Source organism: Homo sapiens, chromosome 15 (assembly GCF_000001405.40).
Source record: "Homo sapiens chromosome 15, GRCh38.p14 Primary Assembly".
NCBI lineage: Eukaryota > Metazoa > Chordata > Mammalia > Primates > Hominidae > Homo > Homo sapiens.
The window spans coordinates 21,016,655-21,038,325 of record NC_000015.10 but is presented as its reverse complement, the minus strand read 5'-3'; the positions used below and the strand labels follow the sequence as shown (position 1 = coordinate 21,038,325).

The following is a 21,671-nucleotide window of genomic DNA, read 5'->3' as shown; positions in this document are numbered from 1 at the left end:
TTGTATAGTTGATTTATAGTGGCAATCGTTATGTACTTAAGTGTGTTTTTGTGGTGGTCAGTAACATTCTTCCATTATCATATTTAGCAATCCCTTAAGGACCTCTTGTAAGGGAAATATAGTGGTGATGAATACCCTTAGCATTTGCTTGTCTGAAAAGGATCTTATTTCTCCTTCACTTGTGAAGCTTAGTTTGGCTAGATATGAAATTCTTGCTTGGAATTTCTTTTCTTTAAGAATGCTGAATATAGGCCCCTAATCTCTTCTGGATTGTACAGTTTCTGGTGAAACATCCACTGTTAGCCTCATTGGGTTCCCTTTGTATGCGACCTGAACCTTCTTTCTAGCTGCCTCTAACATTTTTTTTCCTTTCAACCTTTAAGAGTCTGATGGCTATATGTCTTAGGGATGGTTGTCATGTATAATATCTTGCAGAGGTTCTTTGCATTTCTTGAATTTGAATGTTGGCCTCTCTGGTGAGGTTGGAGAAATTTTCATGGAGGATAGCCTGAAATGTTTTTCAAGTTGCTTTGTTTCTCTTTCTCTTTTTAAGGGATACCAATGTGTCATAGATCTGATCTTTTTACATAATCACCCATTTCTCTGAGGTTTTATGCCTTCTTTTTTGTTCTCTTTTCCTTTATTTTTGTCTGACTGAGTTAATTCAGAGAATCAGTTTTTAAGCTCTGTGATTCTTTCCTCAGCTTGGTCTATTCTGCGGTTAATACTTGTAGTTGTATTCTGAAATTCTTGAAGTGAGTTTTTTAGCTCTATCAAATCATTTTGATTCTTTCTTAAAATGGCCACTTCATCTTTCAGCTTCTGTATCATTTTACTTTATTTCTTAGCTCCCTTGGATTGGGTTTCAACATTCTCCTGAATCTCAGTTATCTTCTTTCCTATCCATATTCTGAATTCTATGTCTGTCATTTCAGCCATTTCAGTCAGGTTAAGAACCATTGCTGGGAAACCAGTGTGGTCGTTTGGAGGTAAGAAGACACTCTGGATTTTAGAGTTGCAGAGTTTCTTGCATTAATTCTTTCTCATCTTTGTGGGCTGTTTCTTTAATCTTTGAAGTGGCTGTCCTTTGGATGTTTTTTTCTTTTTTGTTGTTTTTTGGTGTGTGTTTTTGTTTGTTTGTTCATTTGTTTGTTTTTTGCTCTTATCTTCTTTGATACTCTTGCAGGTTTGATTGTGGTATAAAGTGGGTTCAGTTAGCTGTGTTTCTTGAAAATCTTAGGGGGTCCAGGCTGACCTCAGCACTCTTGTGGTGTGTTCTCTGCTCTGGGACTGGGCCCCTGGCTTTATTCTCTGGCCCCTTGAGTTTAGAAACTTGCTGCATTGGAGGGGCTGAGTTTTTCCCAGTCCACTGGCCACAACACTATAGTAGGTGGTGCCGGCCAAAGCACTTCATTAGAGTGGTGGCAGTGGGATCCATTCTCACTCATAGGTGCCAGCAGTTGTGGTGTCATGGCAGGGTGCACATGCCTCTGCTGGGGTGGGGGTACTGGCAGGAGCAGGGTGGCAGCATCCCTACATAGGTTCCTGCTGGCAGTCACAGGACAGTGAGGTGCCTGTGTGTTGGCAGGGACAGGGTGGCGGGGTGCACATGCACATGCTTGCTGGTGGTAGAGGGAGTTGTGATCCGCTGTGCACTCATGCCAGCAAAGCAGTTGGGAGGTGCTATGGGTGGACTGGTGCACATCAGCAGAGGCTGGCTTGCTGGAGGTCCCCAATGGTTAGGCATGGTCTGCTGGCAAAGGAGCTATGATGAGGGCCCCCAGGAAACACCCTGGTTGGGCTTCCAAGGCTGTACTGCAAGCAGGCACAGCCAGCCTGGGGCCCCAGGAGAGGCCAGAAGGCAAGGAAATGCTCATTTCAGATGGGCCCTGTCCCATGGACAAGACCACCCTGCTATATTCAGCTCCAATAGTCACTCTAAGGTTAAAATCTCCTAGAGGAGGTTGGTGAGCCTTGGGGGATGGGTGTCACCTGGCTGTGCTCCACTACAGCCATTCTCATGTCAAACACTCTGGGCTTTACACAGACTGGAGTCCTACCCTTGGTATCCCTCTAAGCAGCTGTCCCTGCCAGCACAAGTGTCCATGGGGGTCATGGGGTCTCCTGCTGCTAGGATTCTGGAGGCCCATGGCAACAGCAGGCCACTCCTCACCTGTTCAACTCAACCTTTCCCCAGGAGTTGCTGGGAGCCAGGAATGAGTCCTGGTGCTCGGCATCCCCATGCAGGGTTCCCATCTTCCTCCACCTTCAGCCCGGCATCTCTCAGTCCACTCTCAATGCCTTCCCTTTAAAGATCTGCTTGGAAAGCACCAGTCTTCCTGATGTCTCACTCCCTCCATGGCAGATGTTCCTCCTGGCTGCATCTAGTCAGCCATCTTGACTCACCTCCAAAGTCTTTTTAATTACCACTTTGGTTAAATTAGTAACTATCATTTTACAATGGCCTGTGATTCTGTTTTGATCAAATATTTTGAGCCTTTTAGCATCTATAACAAATGTTCTCAAAAATCAAAATTCTAAATCAAGTCTCTGAGACCCTTGAAAGGGTGTGAGAGACAACATGGTTTCACCTGCCTTCATGTGTCCCAACCCATCCCTGTGGATGCCTCTGTCCACCTCAGCTTGCCCACTGTCTTTCCTTCCGAAATGTATGCCCTGCTGACTTCTGGCCTCAGTGACAGATGCAAAGACAAGGCGACAGCCCCACATAGACCATTTAACCAGCCCCACATTTGCATAGGCTAAATGGTCATGTCACAGTCTGTTGCTCAGACTGGTCTCAAATCCTGGGCTCAAGTGATCCACCCACCTTGACCCCCAAGGTGCTGGGATTACAGGCTTGAGCCACAGTGCCCAGCCAAGAACCCGTTTTTGACTGGGCACCTTGGCACACACCTGTAAATGCAACACTTTGGGAGGCCAAGGTGGGAGGGTGGCTTGAGGCCAGGAGGTTGAGGTTGCACTGAGCTATGATGGCACCACCTCACTTCAGTGTGGGTGGCAGGCAGAGTGAGATCCTTTCGAAAAAATAAAAAACAAAACTTGTTTTCTCTGCAGCCGGGCTCCGTAAGCAAACACAAACACAAACTTCCTCTCCAGAGGGTCCAGGAGTTGCTGGGCTGCAGGAGGTGCTTAGGGCCTCTTAGGGAATGGTAAGTGACCACCCAACGCAGGAACTCAGTCCCAGGGGCATATGCAAAGAAAGGCTGGGAGGACACTTTCAGTGACTGGGGTTACAAACCCCAACCATAAGCCATTGCTGGCTCTGTGAGCTGAAACCTCCAGAAATCTCCCACTTAGTTCTTAGCACTAATCCACTCTTCCTTTTTCCTACTCTCAATCCCTAGAGGATGCCCTCCTTTCTCAGGCTCAGACCAAGCTACCAGCTCCACTCTAGACCTGAACACATAACTCCTCCCTCTGTCTCCACCTGGAAATCTCATCAGTGCCTCACATTTACACTCCTGAAAATCAGGTCCTGCCCACCCACCCTCTTGCTCCACCTGATTCCTGCCCTGTTTCACCCAGAGGCCTTGCAGTCTCCTTTAACTCTCAAACCCACCCATGTCATGTGAGCATACTGACTGTGTTCTATGTAAGAAAGAGCAGTTTCTTGGTTGTCCTGCGGTTTTATTAGTCTATAGGCAAAGTGTTGGCAGAGCTGGTTCCTTCTGAACCCTGGGAGGGAGATTCTGTTTTCATGCCTTTTCCAGATTCTAGAACCCATATTCCTTGCTCTGTGTCCCCTTCTTCCATCTTCAAAGGCCATCCTCTCATTTCTGTGTCCATCATCACATCACCCTTCCCCTGACTCTGGCTCTCCTGCTTCCACTTATAAGCACCCTTGTGATTATGTCATACCCACCCAGAAAATGCAGGGTCATATTCTCCCCTCTCGAGATTAATTTAATCACATCTACAAAGTTCCTCGTGCCATATGAGGTCACAAATCCACATGTTCTGGGAGTTTGAATGTAAACATTTGGGGGATGCATTATTCAGCCACCCACAAGCACTGCTCCCCACTGGCCACACACTATGCACAGCTGAGATCGTGCAAGTGAAGCACATTCATCAACAGCAGCTTCAGCAAGAAACTGTATGCTCCACTTTCCTGCCATTTGTATCTGGATTTTTTTTTGCTATCATTGTAGAAAGAGTGGTATTGTAAAATTAAAGATGGATTATTTTCTTCCTAGAGCACTTTGGCAATCTGTCCAACATTATTTATCCCCTTCTGAGTGTCAAGTGTGAGGTCATTCTTTCATTGAGAGCTCAATGCCTACAATTATGATAATGCATATTGGGTACTTTCACACATCAGAAAGTTCTTCTTTCTTAAAATCTGTTCTTGAATTATTCATTCTTCTCTAGCTTTTTGTTGATCTATTTTATAATTTTAGAAAAATCAGAAAGTAACTTGAAGTATCTGTCATCTCTAGAGGTTTACCTCCCTCTTTGTGGTCTTCAGAATGCCATAACAGGCTTTTCCCATGCTCATCACATGGTTTCTATGTATGAGACCTCACCACAGGAGCTGTGGTCCGCCGGGAGCAGGCATCTGTGGATGGCGCCTTATTCCGGGCTGCTGGGACCTGTGCGCTGCCAGTGGCACTCCACGGCGGTGATTTCCTAGCTCAGTGTTGCAGCTCCAGATGGTGGGTGAGACACTAGGACCACTTTGTGAACAGCGAGGGCTTGGGGTTTGCTTTTCTACCATGTCCAGGGCTGCTCTTCATGGGGAATGTTTCTCACCTGACGTCATGGCTGAAGCCAACTTAGAACCTCTCTAGCCGTATGGGGAGTATGTGAGTGATACAGATGTTAATTAGCTCAGTGGAGCCACTCCCCTATGTAGACATGTTACAAAACATTATGCTGTACAGAATAAATATAGGTCATTTTTATGTGTCAATCAAAAGAGAAACTAATTATTAAAAAAAAAACCTCTCTACTAAAGCAGAAACCTCAGCTCCAGTCCCAGAAGACACACAAGGCTGCTCCTGTCCTGTGTATGTTAAACCTACCTCAGAAATGCAAGGGGCATTCAGGTTTCATTCTCAATTCAAATGCCCTTTTTAATTTTGTCTATTCCTAGCACCTGGCAACATCCAGCTCTTTTTTTGGGGCTCATTCATTATTTAAACCATGTATAATTTTTCACCCAACATTCTAACACATGTAGTACTGTAGAGAATCCTTCCCTAGGAGGATCTGCAGCATTAGAAAAGAATTAAGAAGTCCAACATTTACAAGAAGGAAAAAGCAAAGAAGAGATCAAAAAATGGGCAACTTCTAGAAATAGAAAACCCTCATGAGTATGATGATAAATCGCTGGCACACATGTGAATAGTTACTTGATGCTTATAGTGATGTCTGGGAAAATGACATGAAATACTTATAATCTGTTTCTCACACATGTAATTCAAAAGAATAAAGAGAAGATGATTTGAAATATTCTTGAGTTTGCAGGAAAAAAGCTACTTCCATATGCATAATTGCATGTATTTTGATACTGCCATTATTAATAACTATCTAAGAGGGTCCATTAAAAATAAAATTTCTTGGCTGGGCATGATGGCTCATGCCTGTATCCCGGCACTTTGGAAGGCTGAGGCAGGTGGATCACCTGAGGTCAGAAGTTCAAAACCAGCCTGGCCAACATGGTGAAACCCTGTCTCTACCAAAAATACAAAAATTAGCTGGGCGTGGTGGCGTGCACCTGTAGTCCGAGCTACTTGGGGGGCTGAGGCAGGATAATCGTTTGAACCCAAGAGGTGTAGGTTGCAGTGAGCTAAGATCACATCACCGCACTCCAGCCTGAGAGACAAAGTAAGACTCTGTCTCAAAAATATTAAAATAAAATTTCTCATTCCTATTACAGAGTAATTTAATTCATTAATGCCCTGCCCTGTTACAAAACTCATTTGTAAAATACTAATTGTAATTGTGAAAAAATGGCAATTGATACTAATTTTAAATTCTAAAAACAGGGCACCCATATTAAAGATTATTCTGCAGTAAGAGAATTAGCTATAACATTTTGTAATAAGGTGGAGAAAACATTCTCCAACTTACAATGGTTGGTGAGAAGAAAGTTTCCAGCACAGTAGATGGACCCTAAGAGACTTTGTTGAAATAATAAGACAAAAAGATATACAGAGAGATGGGCCAGATGAAGGGAGACAGAGAGAGAGAGAGAGAGGCAGAAATGAGAGATACAAAGTGAAAGAGGGCAACCTGTGGGGTCATCAGGGATTTGTTTTCTGTTTTGTTTATTCTAACATAAAGGCAATGGTGAGTCATCAATGTATTTAGAGTTTGCACAATCACTGTGGAACACAGACAGACACGGGGGAAGAGGAGAAACACAGGGCGGTAGCTTGCCCTTGGACTGTTCTAAGTTCCTCAAAACATAGCAGTTTTGCCCAACCTAAGGGAACTTTCAGCAGCTGCTCTTCTGCCATAGGCCTCTTTCCTGCCTTGTTTTCATGTGGCTGTTTCTGTTCCTGCAGGTCTTAGCTCATCAGACAGGCATTTATTACCTCTGTGTCAACAGTGGGAGCTTCCATTACTCTCTAGCATTACACTCCCCTTCCTCTTTCAGGAAACTTAACATGGAAGTGAGTTTGCCATCGGCCTTCTCCCCACAGTGTTAATAGTGGTGAGGAAGCCAGCCTGTTCCACCTTGCCCCTCCCATGATTCCAACACTGAGTTCAGACTTGTCACATGGAACTTATCCTTGCATGTTTGCCGCACAGACAGATGGACCCAACCATGGATTAGTGGATGGATGGATGGATGGATGGATGGATGGATGGATGGATGAATGGCTGAGTAGGTGTGTGGATGGAAGAGTGGAAAGATAGATGGATGCATGTATGGGTGGATGGGTAGGTTGATGGATGCATGGGTGGGTGGATGAATGAGTGGGTAGGTGGGTGGCTACATGCATGGATGAGTACTTGGATAGATAAGTGAGTGGATGGTTGGATGGATGGATGGATGGATGAATGGGTATGTGAAGGGATGGATGTATTAGAGTGGGTAGTTAGGCAGGCATGAGCTGATAGTCAAGTGATTGTTAAACTGCCTCTCTAAAATAATAATTGGTCTCGGCTGGACATGGTGGCTCACGCCTGTAATACCAACACTTTGGGAGGCTGAGGCGGGTGGATCACAAGGTCAAGAGATCGAAACCATCCTGGCCAACATGGCGAAACCCTGTCTTTACTAAAAATACAAAAATTAGCTGGGCGTGGTGGCGTGCATCTATAGTTCCAGCTACTCGGGAGGCTGAGGCAGGAGAATTGCTTGAACCTGGGAGGCAGAGGCTGCAGTGAGCTGAGATTGCGCCACCACACTCCAGCCTGGTGGTAGAGCAAAGCCCTGTCTCAAATAATAATAATAATAATAAATAATAATAATTGATCTCAGCGGGCACCAAGAAAAGGCAGTCTCCCAATAGATAGAAAACACCCGAAACTGGTCATCAGCAGCTTCCCGATAAGATCTCAGGAGTTGGATGAGTGGGCTCAAGCATATGCACTAAGAGGCAAAGTGGCAGAGTTTAACTGGCACATAATCTTCCTCTAGGAACACTCTAAAAGTAAGAGAAAAACACCTCAAATGAGCATGTGCACATTTCATTAAACCCATTGTGTACGCGGCCCCTCCGAAGCACTGGCAGGCCACTGTACATGTGGACATCCCACCCCAAAGGAAAAATCAAGGGAGAAGAAATACAAATCCCAGAACCATGCCAATGTATAAAACCCCAAGTCAAGGGCCAGGCAGAGCACTTAGATCTCTCAAGTCACCCACTTAGCCATCTTCCAAGTGTACTTTACTTCCTTTCGTTCCCACTCTAAAACTTTAATAAACATTTACTCCTGCTCTAAAACTTGCTTGGGTCTCTCACTCTTCTGCATGCCCCTTGGCCAAATTCTTTCCTCCAAGGAGGCGAGAATCAAGTTGCTGCAGACCTGTATGGATTCGCTCCTGCTAACAGATGGCTGGATGGGTGGACAGATGCATGAATTAGTGGATGGATGTTTGGATGTGTGGGTGGGTGGGTGGATTGTGGGATGGCTGGATGAATGCATGGCTGGGTGGGTGGATGGATGCATGGATAAGTGATGGATGGATGGATGGGTGAGTGGATGGGTGGATGTGTGTGTGGATGGGTGGATGGGAAAACCCTTTAATTGATTACAGGGTTCAGTGTGTGCTTCAACATCATGATGGCATCATCACATTGGTCTCTGTATGAAGCAGTGGGGGAGGAGAGTGTACCAGGGGAGCAGGAATGACTTTTCTCCAGAATCAACCTCTCCCACCCTGCAGCCTGGGCTGTGCAGGCCACATTGGAGAAGGTGGGCTCGACTACTCCTAAATGTTGTTGTGTTCAATGGCTTGTTGACGTTGATGTAGGAATGAGCCTACACCTCCACCATAGATGGAACTGTTTGGGTCCCCAAAGCAGAAAGCCTCTTCTGTTGCAGGTGCTGAAGTTTCCATCTTCTTCTGCTTATACGGAAGCTCACGCATCCCTTGGGTGGCAGGCGTCAGGTTCCTGTGCGCACTGAGCTCCTCCCTTACGTGCTTTGGACAGAAGTGTGAGGCATGCAAGATTGCTGCAGGAAGTCCACCTGTGGGGATGCTGTGACTTCTCCAGCAAGAACACAAGTCTGCTCATTGACCGTCACCACACATAACAAATTAAGTATCCCTTTTTTGATAACATGTCATTGTTTCACAGAGTATTCTTTTAAAGTGTATAAGTTGACTGCAGTTATTATTTTTTGCTTCTGTTACTAATTTACACATGATTAGGCACAATTTACACTTAAGAAATTTCTTAATAGTTTTTTCCTCCTTAAGGTGAGCTATAGTCAGATAACATACTTATCAATTGTCTCTAGCTCTTGTCAGAAAAAAATATAGGGGTGTGTGTGTGTGTGTGTGTTTTGGCCTTTCCAATGATGAATTAAGATGTGCATTGAGAAGGCGTTCACTTTATTTGACGTTAAGGAAGTACCAAGAAGACGCTCTCCACAGGCCCTGGGAAAGCCAGCAGCTGCACCCCGAGGCTGTGCCAAGCAGGGAACAAGGAGGCAGCACCACCTGCTGGGCAGGGAAAAAGCCCTCCCAGTCCCTGCCGCTTCTCTGCAGAGGCACAAAGAGCTGACCCTTCTCCTGGGCCTTCTCCTGGGCTGATGAGATTGCTCCCTGATATGCCAAATTAGGGTTGTGCATCTGAGGCTCTCTCTAGACTCTCAGCTCCTTCCTACTCCTGCGAAGTGAAGAAAACAATGCCAAGGGTTCCTGGAGGCGTCTCTTCCCCTGGAGAGTTTTGACTCCTTTCAATAGTCTCCACTAACCAGCCCTCACTCCATGTCCTCCGTTTCTCCCTAAAGCGGTGCCCAGTCTGATTCCACCGTGGCAGGGATAACAAGGGGCCAGGACATCAGGGGAGAGAAGTTTCTACCTGAGTCACAGCAGCGGCTGCCCTGCAGACTCCTGAAGACACAAGACACATTTCCATCCCAGAGACTCGGCGAAATGCAACCTCAGGCTAGAGAGAGCCAGTTATTTTTTCTTGTTCTGTCCTGGAGAGGCCACTGGGAAAGTCGTGCCCCTTGTTGAGGAAAATATGAGATCTCTCTGCGTCGTCCTCTGCCTGATGGCTATACTTCCATGTGAGTGTCTCAGAGATTTCAGAACTGGGGCTGTGGGCTGTGGTGTCCGTTTGCGACTCATGTCTTTGCTTCTTGGCCCTGAGTGTCCTGCATCAAGTGCAGCTACTAGAGTCATGCCCAGGGCTGGTGAGGTCCTCACAGACCTCTGGGCCTGGACCCAGCAGCACTCTGGGAAGGCACTGGGGCACCTCAGCTCCAGGGGCAGCACACACTTCAGCCCACCCTTCTGGGCCAACTGTCCATCTGCAGAGACACATCCAAGGCCCAGTTATCCCTGCAGCTGAGCTCCGTGATGGCCAAGGGCAGGGCCACACATTCCCGTGGGAGACAGAATGGGTACCTCAGTGTGAGCCCAGACACAAACCTCCCTGCAGGGAAGCACAAGACCACCAGGCGGCGCTCCAGACCACAGAGAAGAAAATCTGTGTCTATATATAGACAGCCTAGGATGCATGAGGCCTCTCACCCCTGGGAACGCTGAGCAGCCACCAGGAGCCCACACTTTGAGGTACAGCAGGAGCCATGCGCTCTCACTCTTGCTCACTCACGCTCCTGCACACAGCCACTGACACATGCCCTCATGCACGTTGCAGATTAACTCCACTGGCCTTGCACTTGCAACGCTGGAGGCTGAGAGGTATCCACAGGTTCTTTTCTCATGAGAGGGGAGGGCTGACTTTCACTTGTGGAGAGGCAGCTCCACGAACACTGGCTGTCCTGAGTGGATGCACCTGGCTCTGGAATTCCTGTCATTTTTTTTGGATCCAGGAGCCCCTGCCTCATGTAGCTACTTAACAGAAAGGAGGAATCCACCCAGGACATGCCCAGACAGGAGCCTCACAGGACGGACAGTGGTGTCTGGGGTCACGGGCAGCCCTGACCCAGCAGCACCAGCACCAGCACACCCAGTGGGGAAGGCAGGGAGGCCGAAATGCCACCCACGGTTTGTTATTTCACTGGGTGGGACCTGGCACCCCTGCCTTCCTGACACCCTGGAATCCCTGCCTCCTCCTAGAGCCTCCAAGCCCGTCTCCCTCAGAGCCTCCAGAGACAGACCTGGGGAGCCATTTCCTCAGGCCCTGGACAAGGAAACGGAATTCCAGGTTATGGGTGCCTGGGGCAGGTCTCAGGCAGGTGCTGGGAACCAGAGACAGCAGTCACCACGAGGCCTTAGGCCTGGCACCAGCACTTTGAGCCTCAGTTTACCAGCCCACGAGGTGCTGAGTCTGGACTGGATGACCTTCCCACCCCCAGTGACCTCTGACCTTTCCCGAGCATGTCAGCTCTGCACCAGCATCCTGGTGTGAGCCCAATGCCACTTTTTTTTCTCAACAAATAAGAAAGGAGGAAGGTGCCCCCAGGGCCCTGTGCCCTGAGGATGCCTGTGTGGAGGGGTCCATTTCATCACTGGTGTCACTCACAGGAAGGGACGAAGCCACCTGCCTTGACGGAGCTTACTCCACCTCCGCGGAAGGCCGGGGAGGTCCCTCACAGCGAACCTGAGGCCCAGCAGGCTGCAGAGGTGCTGACAGGGAATGACTGCTCAGACGCCGGGGGCCGGCAGAGAGGACGGATATGGGGATGCACACTGAGGAGCCTCTCCTTGGAGATGGAGACACGTGGACCACATGGACCAGGACACACTCCATGAAGCCTCACACTCCCCTGAGCTGCAGCTCAAGGGCCTCTCTCTGAGCCCACGGTCCCACCCCTGGGAGGCAGCTGCCCCAGCTCTGAGGGAGGAGGGCATCCACCAGACCCTCCATCTCCTGGGGGCACCAGCCCAGCCCAGCGGCTCTGCAGGACTCTGCACCCCCAATTCATGGCCAGGACTTTCTGGATGTATCTTAAGGACTGAGGACTCCACATCAGGGACCACACAAGACCGGGGTCCCGGACATGGGGGTTGGGGGTGAGCATGTCACCGGGATGGGCTGTGGCATCACTCTGGTGCTTCATCCGGACAGCCAGGGACCAAAGCCACGCCCTCAGCCCCACCCCACCCCTACCTCACATGGCAACCCAGGGTCTGCAGATGCAGGAGAATGAGAAGCATGGTAGCCAGGCAGACTAGAGGACCCGAGCTGGGGTTGAGCACATCCCTGTCTACCCAGGGCATGGCCTGTGAGGCTGCAGGTGGCCTAGTGTGTGCTGCAGGCTCAAGGTCCTGCCCCAGGGAGCATGACATTCAGGCCAAGAAATTGCATCATGCTGCACACGGCCCAAGGGGATAACCCTGTGATGTTCAGGTCACCAGCAGGCTTGGGGTCAAGACCGAACTGCAGAGGACAGGTTTCTGGAAGGCACAACATCATGGGTGGAGGGACTTGGAGCAAGGTCCTTAGCCCCGGGACCAGTGAATGTGTGCCCTTATAGGGAAAGGGGGTCTTTGCAGAAGGAAGTTAGCTGAAAATCATGAAGTGGAGAGGTGCTCCTGGATTAAAGAGGTGAGCCCTAATATAATCACAGGTGTCCTTCTAGGAGGATGGCAGAGGGAGACTGACATAGACAGAAGCCAGATGAGGTCGGAAGCAGAGGCAGAGGCTGAGAGAGCAGATGCTACGCCCTGGCCCTGAAGACGGAGGAGGAGCCGAGAGCTCAGGGATGCAGAGACTAGAAGAGGCAGGGAAGTTCTCCCCGCAAGCCTGGAGGGAGCATGGCCTCCAGCACACCTAGACCTTGGCCCTGTAGGATTCATCTGGACCTGTGGTATAAATGTGTGGTGTTTAAGCCACTGGGCTGTGCAAATTGTCATAGCAGCCATGGCGCATTCCTAGAGGGAGCCCTGGTGGGGACCCAGCAGGCAGCGACGGGGCCCTCACAAGCCTGTGAGCCACTCAGAGCGGTGAGAGTGGCTAGGCTTGGTGAGGTGCAGGCCACGCACAACTCCACTAAGGCAGCCTTAGAGCCCACACCTCCTCTCTCTCTCTCTCTCTCTCTGTCTCTTTCCCTCCCTCCTTCCCTCCCTCCCTTTCTCTCAGTTGGACAGCTCTCCATCATGCCCCGGGACATGACCGCCTCCCAAGGCCAAGCTGGGGCACTTTGCTCGAGGTGAGCACTGACATCCTGGGGGTGTGAGGGGCACCTACCCAGCAGCCCTGTGTGAAGGATGGGCGGTGGGCCCTAGCTGGCACTGGGCATGTGGCCCGGCTGGTGCCCGCAGGCTGCAGCCTTTCTGGGTGGCCAGGATCAGTGAAGGCCTGCAGAGTCTGGGCCTGGGATCCCTGCAGCACTGGCTGAGGACAGGCAGGGTTGGGCAGTGAGGGCACTGGGTCACTGTCACCACCCACGGTTTGTTACTTCACTGGGTTCCCTGCAGTGCTGGCTGGGGACAGGCAGGGCTGGGCAGCGAGGGCGCTGGGTCACTGTCACCACCCACGGCTTGTTACTTCACTGGGTGGGACCTTGCACCCCTGCCTTCCTAACACCCTGGAATCCCTGCCTCCTCCTAGAGCCCCCAAGCCCATCTCCCTCAGAGCCTCCAGAGACAGACCTGGGGAGGCATTTCTTCTGTCCCCAGCAGAAGCCCAGGAGGCCCGGAAGGCACAGTGGGTCTAAAGGAGAGGATCCTGCCACTGCCTGAGGGGTGACTCAGACAAGACAAGCATGGAGCCCACTAGAAGTGGGGTGGGAGCCCCACCAGGGATGGGCTAGTTCCTCATGAAGGACCAGGGCCCAGGAAGGACAAGGGGGCCTGCTGGGGCAGGGTCTGCTATGGCGGAGTCCCTGTGAGCCTGGCCCAGACCTGCGTCTCTCTTTCCTCATTGGTCCCCACAGGTCCGTGGCGGTTGCCGTATTGGGAGGCCCCGTGGTGGCAGGGGTGGGACACCCGGTATACGTTGCCAGGTGTGTCCGATAGGCTCATGCTCACACCTTCGCCTGGCACCTGGGCAGAGCTGGAGCACCCGGGCACTGAAGTGAGGGCAAGGTCTCGGGGCCCCACAGGGTGGCTGAGGAGACAGCTGCAGGGTACCTGGGACCCCTGGACTCAGGAAGTAGAAGGATACAGCCTAAAAATGCACACCACAGGCTCACCAGCCGGTGCAGGCCCACAGAACTCGAGGAGGCAGCCCTGAGCCTCCCAGGGAGAGATGCTCTGTGCACGCCAGCACAGGCCCTGGGTTACAAACCCTAGGCACAGCCCAGGAGAGGCCCAGGCCCCAGGCCAGCAAGGGGTTGCAGGAAGCAAGAGGCCCCAGCCACAGCATGAGATGAGCCCATCAAGCCAGGGCCAGGTGGGCAATGGGAGGCAGGCAGGGCTTGGGGGTGGGTCCCTGCTGCAGCACCTTCCACTGTCAACCGGAGGAGTTTCTTCACTGTGCGGAGTCCACGGGCCTCCTGTGAGTGTGTGCATGGGCCCAAGTGTGTGTGTGCCTCTGCTGTGTGTCTGTACACAAGTATGTTTTGGGGTTTTTTTGTGTCTCAGACCACAGAGTCTGCCCCTCTCACCAAAGCCCAGGCAGAAGGATGAACTCACGCCCCTGGGGCCCAGGCCTCAGCAGCCTCTGTGGGATCATTGTTCCCGGTTGTCACTTGCCTTTGGCACAGCCCTATTTCTCCACAATTCCTTAAAGTCCTCAACATGCTTTAAGGCACAAAGGTGAAAGTACCCAGAAACATCTGACTCTGCTGTGGAACCCAGGAGTAAGCTGGGTTAGCTAAGGAGCGGGGCCGTTGGCAGAGGCTGGGGTCCAGGCTGAACTTTGGAGGAGGCATGTCCCAGCATGGGCTCCTGACTATGTCCTCCTGGGACAAACCCAAACCCACTCTTTGAATATGGGAGGGACTTTGCTGGCCCTGGCCCTGACCGCAGCACTTGGAAACTAAGGAGTGGTCGCCTCCCCCCTGTCACAGCTGCCCGTTCACCATCATAGAAGCAACTCTGTCACCTCCATGGGCCCCTCTGTGGCTGCTGCCTGGGTCCAAGCTGAGCCCAGCTGCCCAGGCCCAGAAGGAAAGCCCAGGCCAGGCGCCCAGCACAGAGGCAGTCACGTACCCCAGGGAGAGCCACAGCAAGCAGCCAATGTTGCCCAGGAGAGGAGTAGCTGACAAGGCAGAACGTGAGCTGCCATCGGCTTGAGAGGCTTTGCTGGTCCTCCTGGGCTGTGGACATGACCTGGAGGAGCGAGGGAAGAAGTCGTATGGTGGTCCCATCCCAGGGCCTGATGGCAGCTGGCCACCCGTCCCAGAGTGGCAGCCAGATGCCAGCGCCATTCCCACAGTCACATCATTGGTCACAGACTGCAGGACATAGAGCGTCTTCTTTCCATCACAGTGCTGTCCAAACCCATAGCCTAGGGTAGACCTGGAAGATTCAATGTCCACACCCGGGGCTGGAGCACAGCCATGAGCCAGGCCCACTGCCCGTGCATGGAAAGCCAGCCCAAGCCCTGCTCCATCCCTAGCCAATGTCAGTGTCCTTTCCCCTTCTCCCAAGTGAGCTCTAGCCACCTGCCTACCCTGCCATCTGAGGATGACAACCTTCATTCCATTGGAATCTGGCTCTGCCACCAGCAGGCTTGCAGTCTTGGGCAGACTCCGTCACCTCTCTATGCCTCAGCTTTTCCATCTGCACAGGAGGATGATGATGATGGTGGTGATGAAGATGGCAATGGCTTCCTTTTGCATTTGAGGCAAGGACTAATTGAGATGATACACATCAGGCACTGGGTATGATGCTGGTCCTTCCTGAGCACTCAATCTATGTGAGCTGTCCTTGTGAAATGGATGTCACCACATTTCCCCATGCAGAACATCCTTTGTTTGCCATACTTGAAACGTCTGCCCCAATACTAACAGCTCCTCGTGGAAGATGTGCACAAACCCACCCGCCCTCATACTCCCAAAGGTACCCATGCCTTATCAAGCCAAAGTCCAGCCAGGAACTTTATAGCAGCATCCCTTTCCCTCTCCATGCACCAAGGAGCAAGGCAAAGCACTGCATCTTCTATCTGGAGGCAATACCACCCTCTTCTCCCATTTTCACTGCCATTCCTAAGAGGCAGTGCTTCCCCCGCAAGGTTCCATGGTGGCCTGCCTACAGCAACTCTGTTCACATGAGTTTCAGCATCCTTGCAGTGGCTCCCCTGCCATGCTCTGGCTCTTCATTCACCCTCATCTCCTGCTCCCCGTGACAGGCATAGATTCTGAGTGATCTGGATACATTGCTTTGTTTAATAACATTACAGCTTCTGTGCTGGGGAAGACACAGCAGATACAGAAGGCAATTGTTGAACACAAAATAGTGACGGCAGAGATGACGGCAAGTTGGCATTTTTCTTTTCTAGCAATAAAACTTAAAACTGACTCAAGAAGAAATGGAAATCGTAGTTGGAACAATAATCCTCAAGAAAGCATTAAGATTATTAAATAATTGCCCTCACAGATGACTTCAGGCCAAGATGGCTTTATGGGTGAAGTTTAGACTTTCACAAAACTAATCAGTTCCCATAAGAACTGCTCCAGGATTTGGAGAAACATGGAAAAGTCTATGAACGGGATCACACTCCACAGTCTCCAGAGTAAAACATGGGTTACTTGCATTTTGGCAAAGAGCCAAATGTTATAAATGACATCCTAGAAGGCCAAATTCTGTCCATCTCATTGAACAAGGACTTACACCGGGAATTAAGAACTATTTATAGCTCATCCCACCACTCAGGCCAATGATGACCCATGATCATCTCACCAGAAATGGAAAGACTCACTTGATTAATAGAGTCTCAATTCCTCTGAGACATCTAAGAGCCCAGCCCAAGCCCAGACCCAGGAGGGCACCCAGGCCTGGAGAGAGAACACTATCACACCAGCCCTCCAGAGGGAAGCAGAGACTCCTTCAAGCTCTGGAAACACAGGCCCAGACAGCTGCCCAAAGTTGGGCAGGCTTCACCGCATACCCAAATCATGAAGCTAGGTAACACCTTTACAGATTCTTTACATTTAAAAATCATCAAAACTTAACAGTAAATAATAAACTCAAATAATATTAATCTAATATGTAAAGGTCTTGTACCATTATTAGGCAAACAACATACATAAGCTAATAAGAAAAAGAACAAATCCCTTAAGAAATCAGCAAAGGATATAACACAATTTCCAAAAGAAAACAAGTGGCTAGCACACATGAGGAAAACACTTTGTGAACAGACATTCTTCAGACCATTATTTATAATTATAAAATAGTTGAAAGCAAGATAGTGCCTGAAGAAATTATGGTGCATACATTAATGGGACTATTCTGCAAACATTCCCAATTATACTTGTCACATATCTGTGATAACGTGACAGCCAGCATTCATGGGGTGACCTCATTTGATAAAAGGGTGCAAAGCTCAACACACACTGTGAGATGACTGTGGTGTAAATACAAAGACCAAACCGTGAAAAGGAGTCCATCAATTAACTGATGCTTACCTTCAGTTTTGGGCTGATTTTTAAAGTATGCTATAAGCATATGCTCCTGTTATAACAGAATGGAGGGATTATGAGAGATGATGTAGGTGTGTCCTGGGCCTCCCCGGCCCACTGGGCCCTACAGATGCCTTCCCAGGCACTGCTGTCAGGGCTTCCCTCAGAGGGAGTCCTGTATTGACCTCACCACTAAGATCTGGAGCAGGGGATCCTTAGATATGGGTAGGGGTTATCTCACCTTAGGTCTGAATACGGGGTTGTCTTAGACTGTTTTGTGATGTTGTAATAGAACACCCAAGACTGGGAAGTTTATACTGAACGGAAATTTATTTCTCACAGTTCTAGAGGCTGTGAAGTCCAAGAGCAAGGTGCCAGAGCAAGTCCAAGAGCAAGGGAAAGTCCAAAGCAAGTCCAGGAGCATCTGGCAAGGACCTTCTTGCTGTGTCATCATATGGCAGAAGGCAAGAAAGAGAGCAAGAGGGGGCCGAACTCACCCTTTTATAACAGCGCCAATCCCACCCATGAGGTGGGGACCTTATGACCTAATCACTCTTCATACTGTTACAATGGCAATGAAATTTCAACATGAGTTTTGGAGGAGAGAAGCATTCAAACCACAGCAAGCGTGCTCCTACCTCCTCTCTCAGGGCATCTGCAGAAAGAGCTGCAACTGCACGTCCTTCCTCCGTCCATCCTCCGTCCCTTCCCGATGTCTGTGCATTTCCTGTGACCCAGGAGGTCTGGTGTAGGGGGTGCTCCTGCCTTAGGTCTGAGGCCCTGTCTGAAGAGGGGTAGGTGAGGAGGCCACCTGATTGTCTGGGCCAAGACAGTCACAGGATGAATCATTCATCATCAAGGAGGCTGAGGGTTGAGTCTCCAGGTCCAGGGAACTCCCCACAAAGTGCGAACCCTGCCCAGCTCCACACAGCCTCTGCTGGGGGACCCTGCTCTGGCACAGAGCCTGGGAACAGGTCTTGAGCTCAGCCAGAGTCTGCCTCCCTGTCATTTAGGAATTAAACCTAGCGGCAGGATGCTGGAGCCCAGCCCCCATCTGACCTTACAGGGCCAAGCCTGGGGCCCTGGGTTCCCCTCAAGGCGCAGCAGGACTGGAGCCCCAGGCAGTGCAGGAGTGGCCAAAGCTGGGGCTTCCTCCAGAGCCACCAAGCATCACGGCATCAGGAAGGGTAGGACCCTGGCCTCAGAAATTGGCACCAAAGCCCCAGAAGCTACCCTGGACACCATGGAGAGAGGCCTGGAGGGGAAGCACCAGGCACTGCCCCCCCCTTCTGATCCCACATGAGGTGGCTGCCAAGCCCAGAGAGCAGCTCTGATGTCCCCCAGCCCTGCAGCCCAGGGACACCTGTACTGTGCCCCTGTGGGACCCCTGGCCAGTCTGTGCAAAGAAGTCACCACCCTATACTCAGAGACAGTGGGGGTCCTCTTCCCACATCCTCAGAGCATGGCCCGGCTGCTGCAGGGATGGTCTCCTGGAGGCCCCCCAGTGCTCTATTGTCAGGGCTCCCTCCACCCCACTGCACCAAGAGAGAGCCAGACCCCAGCAAGGCTTCCAGTGGCTTCAGGTCACACCCCTAGGCTGACCCCAGCCCCATCAACACCTGCCTGAGAAAGCTCAATGCACCAGAACTGACCGTTTGCTCCAACTCTCGACCTCCCATTCTCAGAGCATCTGCTGTAAAGGCTGCAACTGCACATCCTTCCTCTGTCCCTTCCTGATGTCTGTGTGTCTCCTGTGGCCAGGAAGGTCTTTCTCGGGACCTGAGAGCCACTCCCTGAAGTGTCCCCATTGGGAAGGATGGGGCCTGTGTCTCCAGGCTCTGGGAGGACAGAATCCTGACCTCAACAGTGGCCAGCACGGACACAGCGGGCCCCATCCCAGGGACGCTGACCAGCACTGGGCAAATTTTCCCTTCCCCGACGACTGAGCCCCGAGCACCCTCCCTGCTCCCTCTACCCCCTCCCTTTTCAAGGCTGTGGCCTCTGCACAGACGACAATGGAGCTTGGCTCATTCCCCTAGAGTCGGTAGAGAGTTAATGACAAAACTGTTTCCTCCGCCTGAACTCAGGTCTGCCTGTGTTTACCTGATCACAGCTGGTGGACAGTTTGGACAAACTTGCACACTCAGAGACACAGACCCTTCTAGAAATCATTATCTCCCCGCCCCTGGGACCCCTCTCCCGTGGAAGTCTGCTAGGCACTGGCCTGGGCCCTCCTGCTGTCCTAGGAGGCTGCTGACCTCCTGCCTGGCTCCTGTCCCCAGGTCCAGAGTCAGAGCAGACTCCAGGGATGCTGAAGGCTAGGAAGCCGCCCCTCCAGGCCAGGGTCTAGTGCAGGTGCCCAGGACAAGAAAGATTGTGAATGCAGGAATGACTGGGCCACACCCCTCCCATGCATGCCCCCTCCTGCCCTGCACCCCACAGCCCAGCCCCCCATGCTAGATGCCCCCCACAGCAGAGGTGCTGTTCTGTGATCCCCTGGGAAAGAAGCCCTCAACCTCCACCCTGTCCCATGGCCCAAGGAAGACAAGACACAGGCCCTCTCCTCACAGTCTCCCCACCTGGCTCCTGTTGGGATCTTCAAGGTGTGAACAGGGAGGATGGTTGTCTGCGTGGCCCCTAGGAGCCCAGATCTTTGCTCCACAGACCCCAACCCAAGCACCCCCTTCTGCAGGGCCCAGCTCATCTGCCTCTTCCTCCCTTTGCTCTCCTCTCTTCGCCTCTGTGGGAAATCCGGGACTCAGCAGTAACCCTCAGGAAGCAGGGCCGAGGTGCCGTTTAATAGGAGGCTTCGTCACAATGAAACTCTTAGAAAGACTTGACTACGATGATGACCGTGGCGTGGCTGTGAACACTGTCAGCTCCCACAGTTGCCGCAGCAAAAAATGTCCATAGACAGGGTGGGGGCCCGGGGTCATCTGCTGTCCTGCTCAGCCCACAGCATGCATGGAAAATCTGAGGTGCCACACCTGACACCCAGACCAGAACATGCCTCCCTCCAGGGTGACCTGCCATGTCCTGCATTGCTGGAGGGACAGGGGCAGCCTGTGAGGATCTGGGGCCAGGAGATGAATCCCATTAACCCAGAGGAAAACAAGCAGGACCTGAGCACCCTCCCCATTGAAGCTGACCTGCGCAGAGGGGCCTGGGCCCACCCCACACACTGGGGCGGAATGTGTGCAGGCCCCAGTCTCTGTGGGTGTTCTGCTAGCTGGGGCTTCCAGTGCTCACCCCACAACCAAAGTGAGCCACAGCCTCCAGAGCCCCCAAAGGAGATCCTGCCCACAAGCCCAGCCCCCACCCAGGAGGCCCCAGAGCTCAGGGCACCTGGGCAGATTCTGAACAGCCCCGAGTCACAGTGGGTATAACTGGAACAACCACTGTGAGAAAAGCTTTGTCCAAAACCGTCTCCTGGCCACTGCCGGAGGCCATGCCAGAGAGGGGAACAGCCGCCCCGAACCTAGGTCCTGCTCAGCTCACATGACCCCCAGCAGCCAGAGCACAACGGAGTCCCCATTGAATGGTGAGGATGGGGACCAGGGCTCCAGGGGGTCATGGAAGGGGCTGGACCCCATCCTACTGCTATGGCGCCAGTGCCCCTGGCCAGAACTGACCCTACCACCGACAAGAGTCCCTCAGGGAAACGGGTCACTGGCACCTCCCAACATCAACCCCAGGCAGCACAGGCATAAACCCCACATCCAGAGCAGACTCCAGGAGCACATTCACCCCAATACCCTGGGGGACACCGACCCTGATGACTCCCCACTGGAATCCACCCCAGAGTCCACCAGGATCAGAAACCCCTCCCCGTCTCTGTCCCTCACTCAGGACCTGCTGCGGGGCGGGCCCTGAGAGCAGACTGGGGCTTAGGGAACACCACTGTGGCCCCAACCTCGACCAGGACACAGGCCCTTCCTTCCTGCCCTGTGGCGGCACAGACTTTGGGGTCTGCGCAGGGAGGAAGCACAGAAGCCCCAGGCTGAGGTGGTGGGGGTGGAAGACCCCCAGGAGGTGGCCCACTTCCCTTCCTCCCAGCTGGAACACACCATGTCCTTCCTAAAATAGGGGTGTCATCCGAGGCAGGTCCTCCATGGAGCTCCCTTCAGGCTCCTCCTGGTACTCACTAGGCCTCAGTCCCAGATATGGGAATGCAGCCACCACAGGCACACCAGGCAGCCCAGACCCAGCCAGCCTGCAGTCCCCAAGCCCACATTCTGGAGCAGAGCAGGCTGTGTCTGGGAGAGTCTGGGCTCCCCACTCCCCACCTGCACACAGCCACCCACCCCTGTCCAGGCCCTATGCAGGAGGGTCAGAGCCCCCCATAGGGTACAGACTTAGGGTCACACTCACGTGCCTCCCCTCCTGGGTGAAGGGGTCTCATGACCAGATCCCCGCAGCAGCGCTGGTCAAAGGTGGAGGCAGTGTCCCCAGGGCTACCCTGACCTGGCCCCTCAGGCTCCTCTAGCCCTGGCTGCCCTGCTATCCCTGGGAGGCCTGGACTCCACCAGACCACAGGTCCA

The 21,671-nt window shown here is 51.9% G+C and overlaps 1 long non-coding RNA gene across 1 annotated transcript in view; it reads right to left on the bottom strand.

Moving 5' to 3' along the window:
- The window catches only part of FAM30C (family with sequence similarity 30 member C), a 46,560-nt gene that overhangs the window by 11,511 nt on the left and 13,378 nt on the right, over positions 1 to 21,671 (bottom strand). The window contains exon 2 of the long non-coding RNA NR_145444.1: positions 17,769 to 17,914. This is a non-coding gene — a long non-coding RNA (family with sequence similarity 30 member C). The remainder of the gene's footprint in view (positions 1 to 17,768; positions 17,915 to 21,671) is intronic.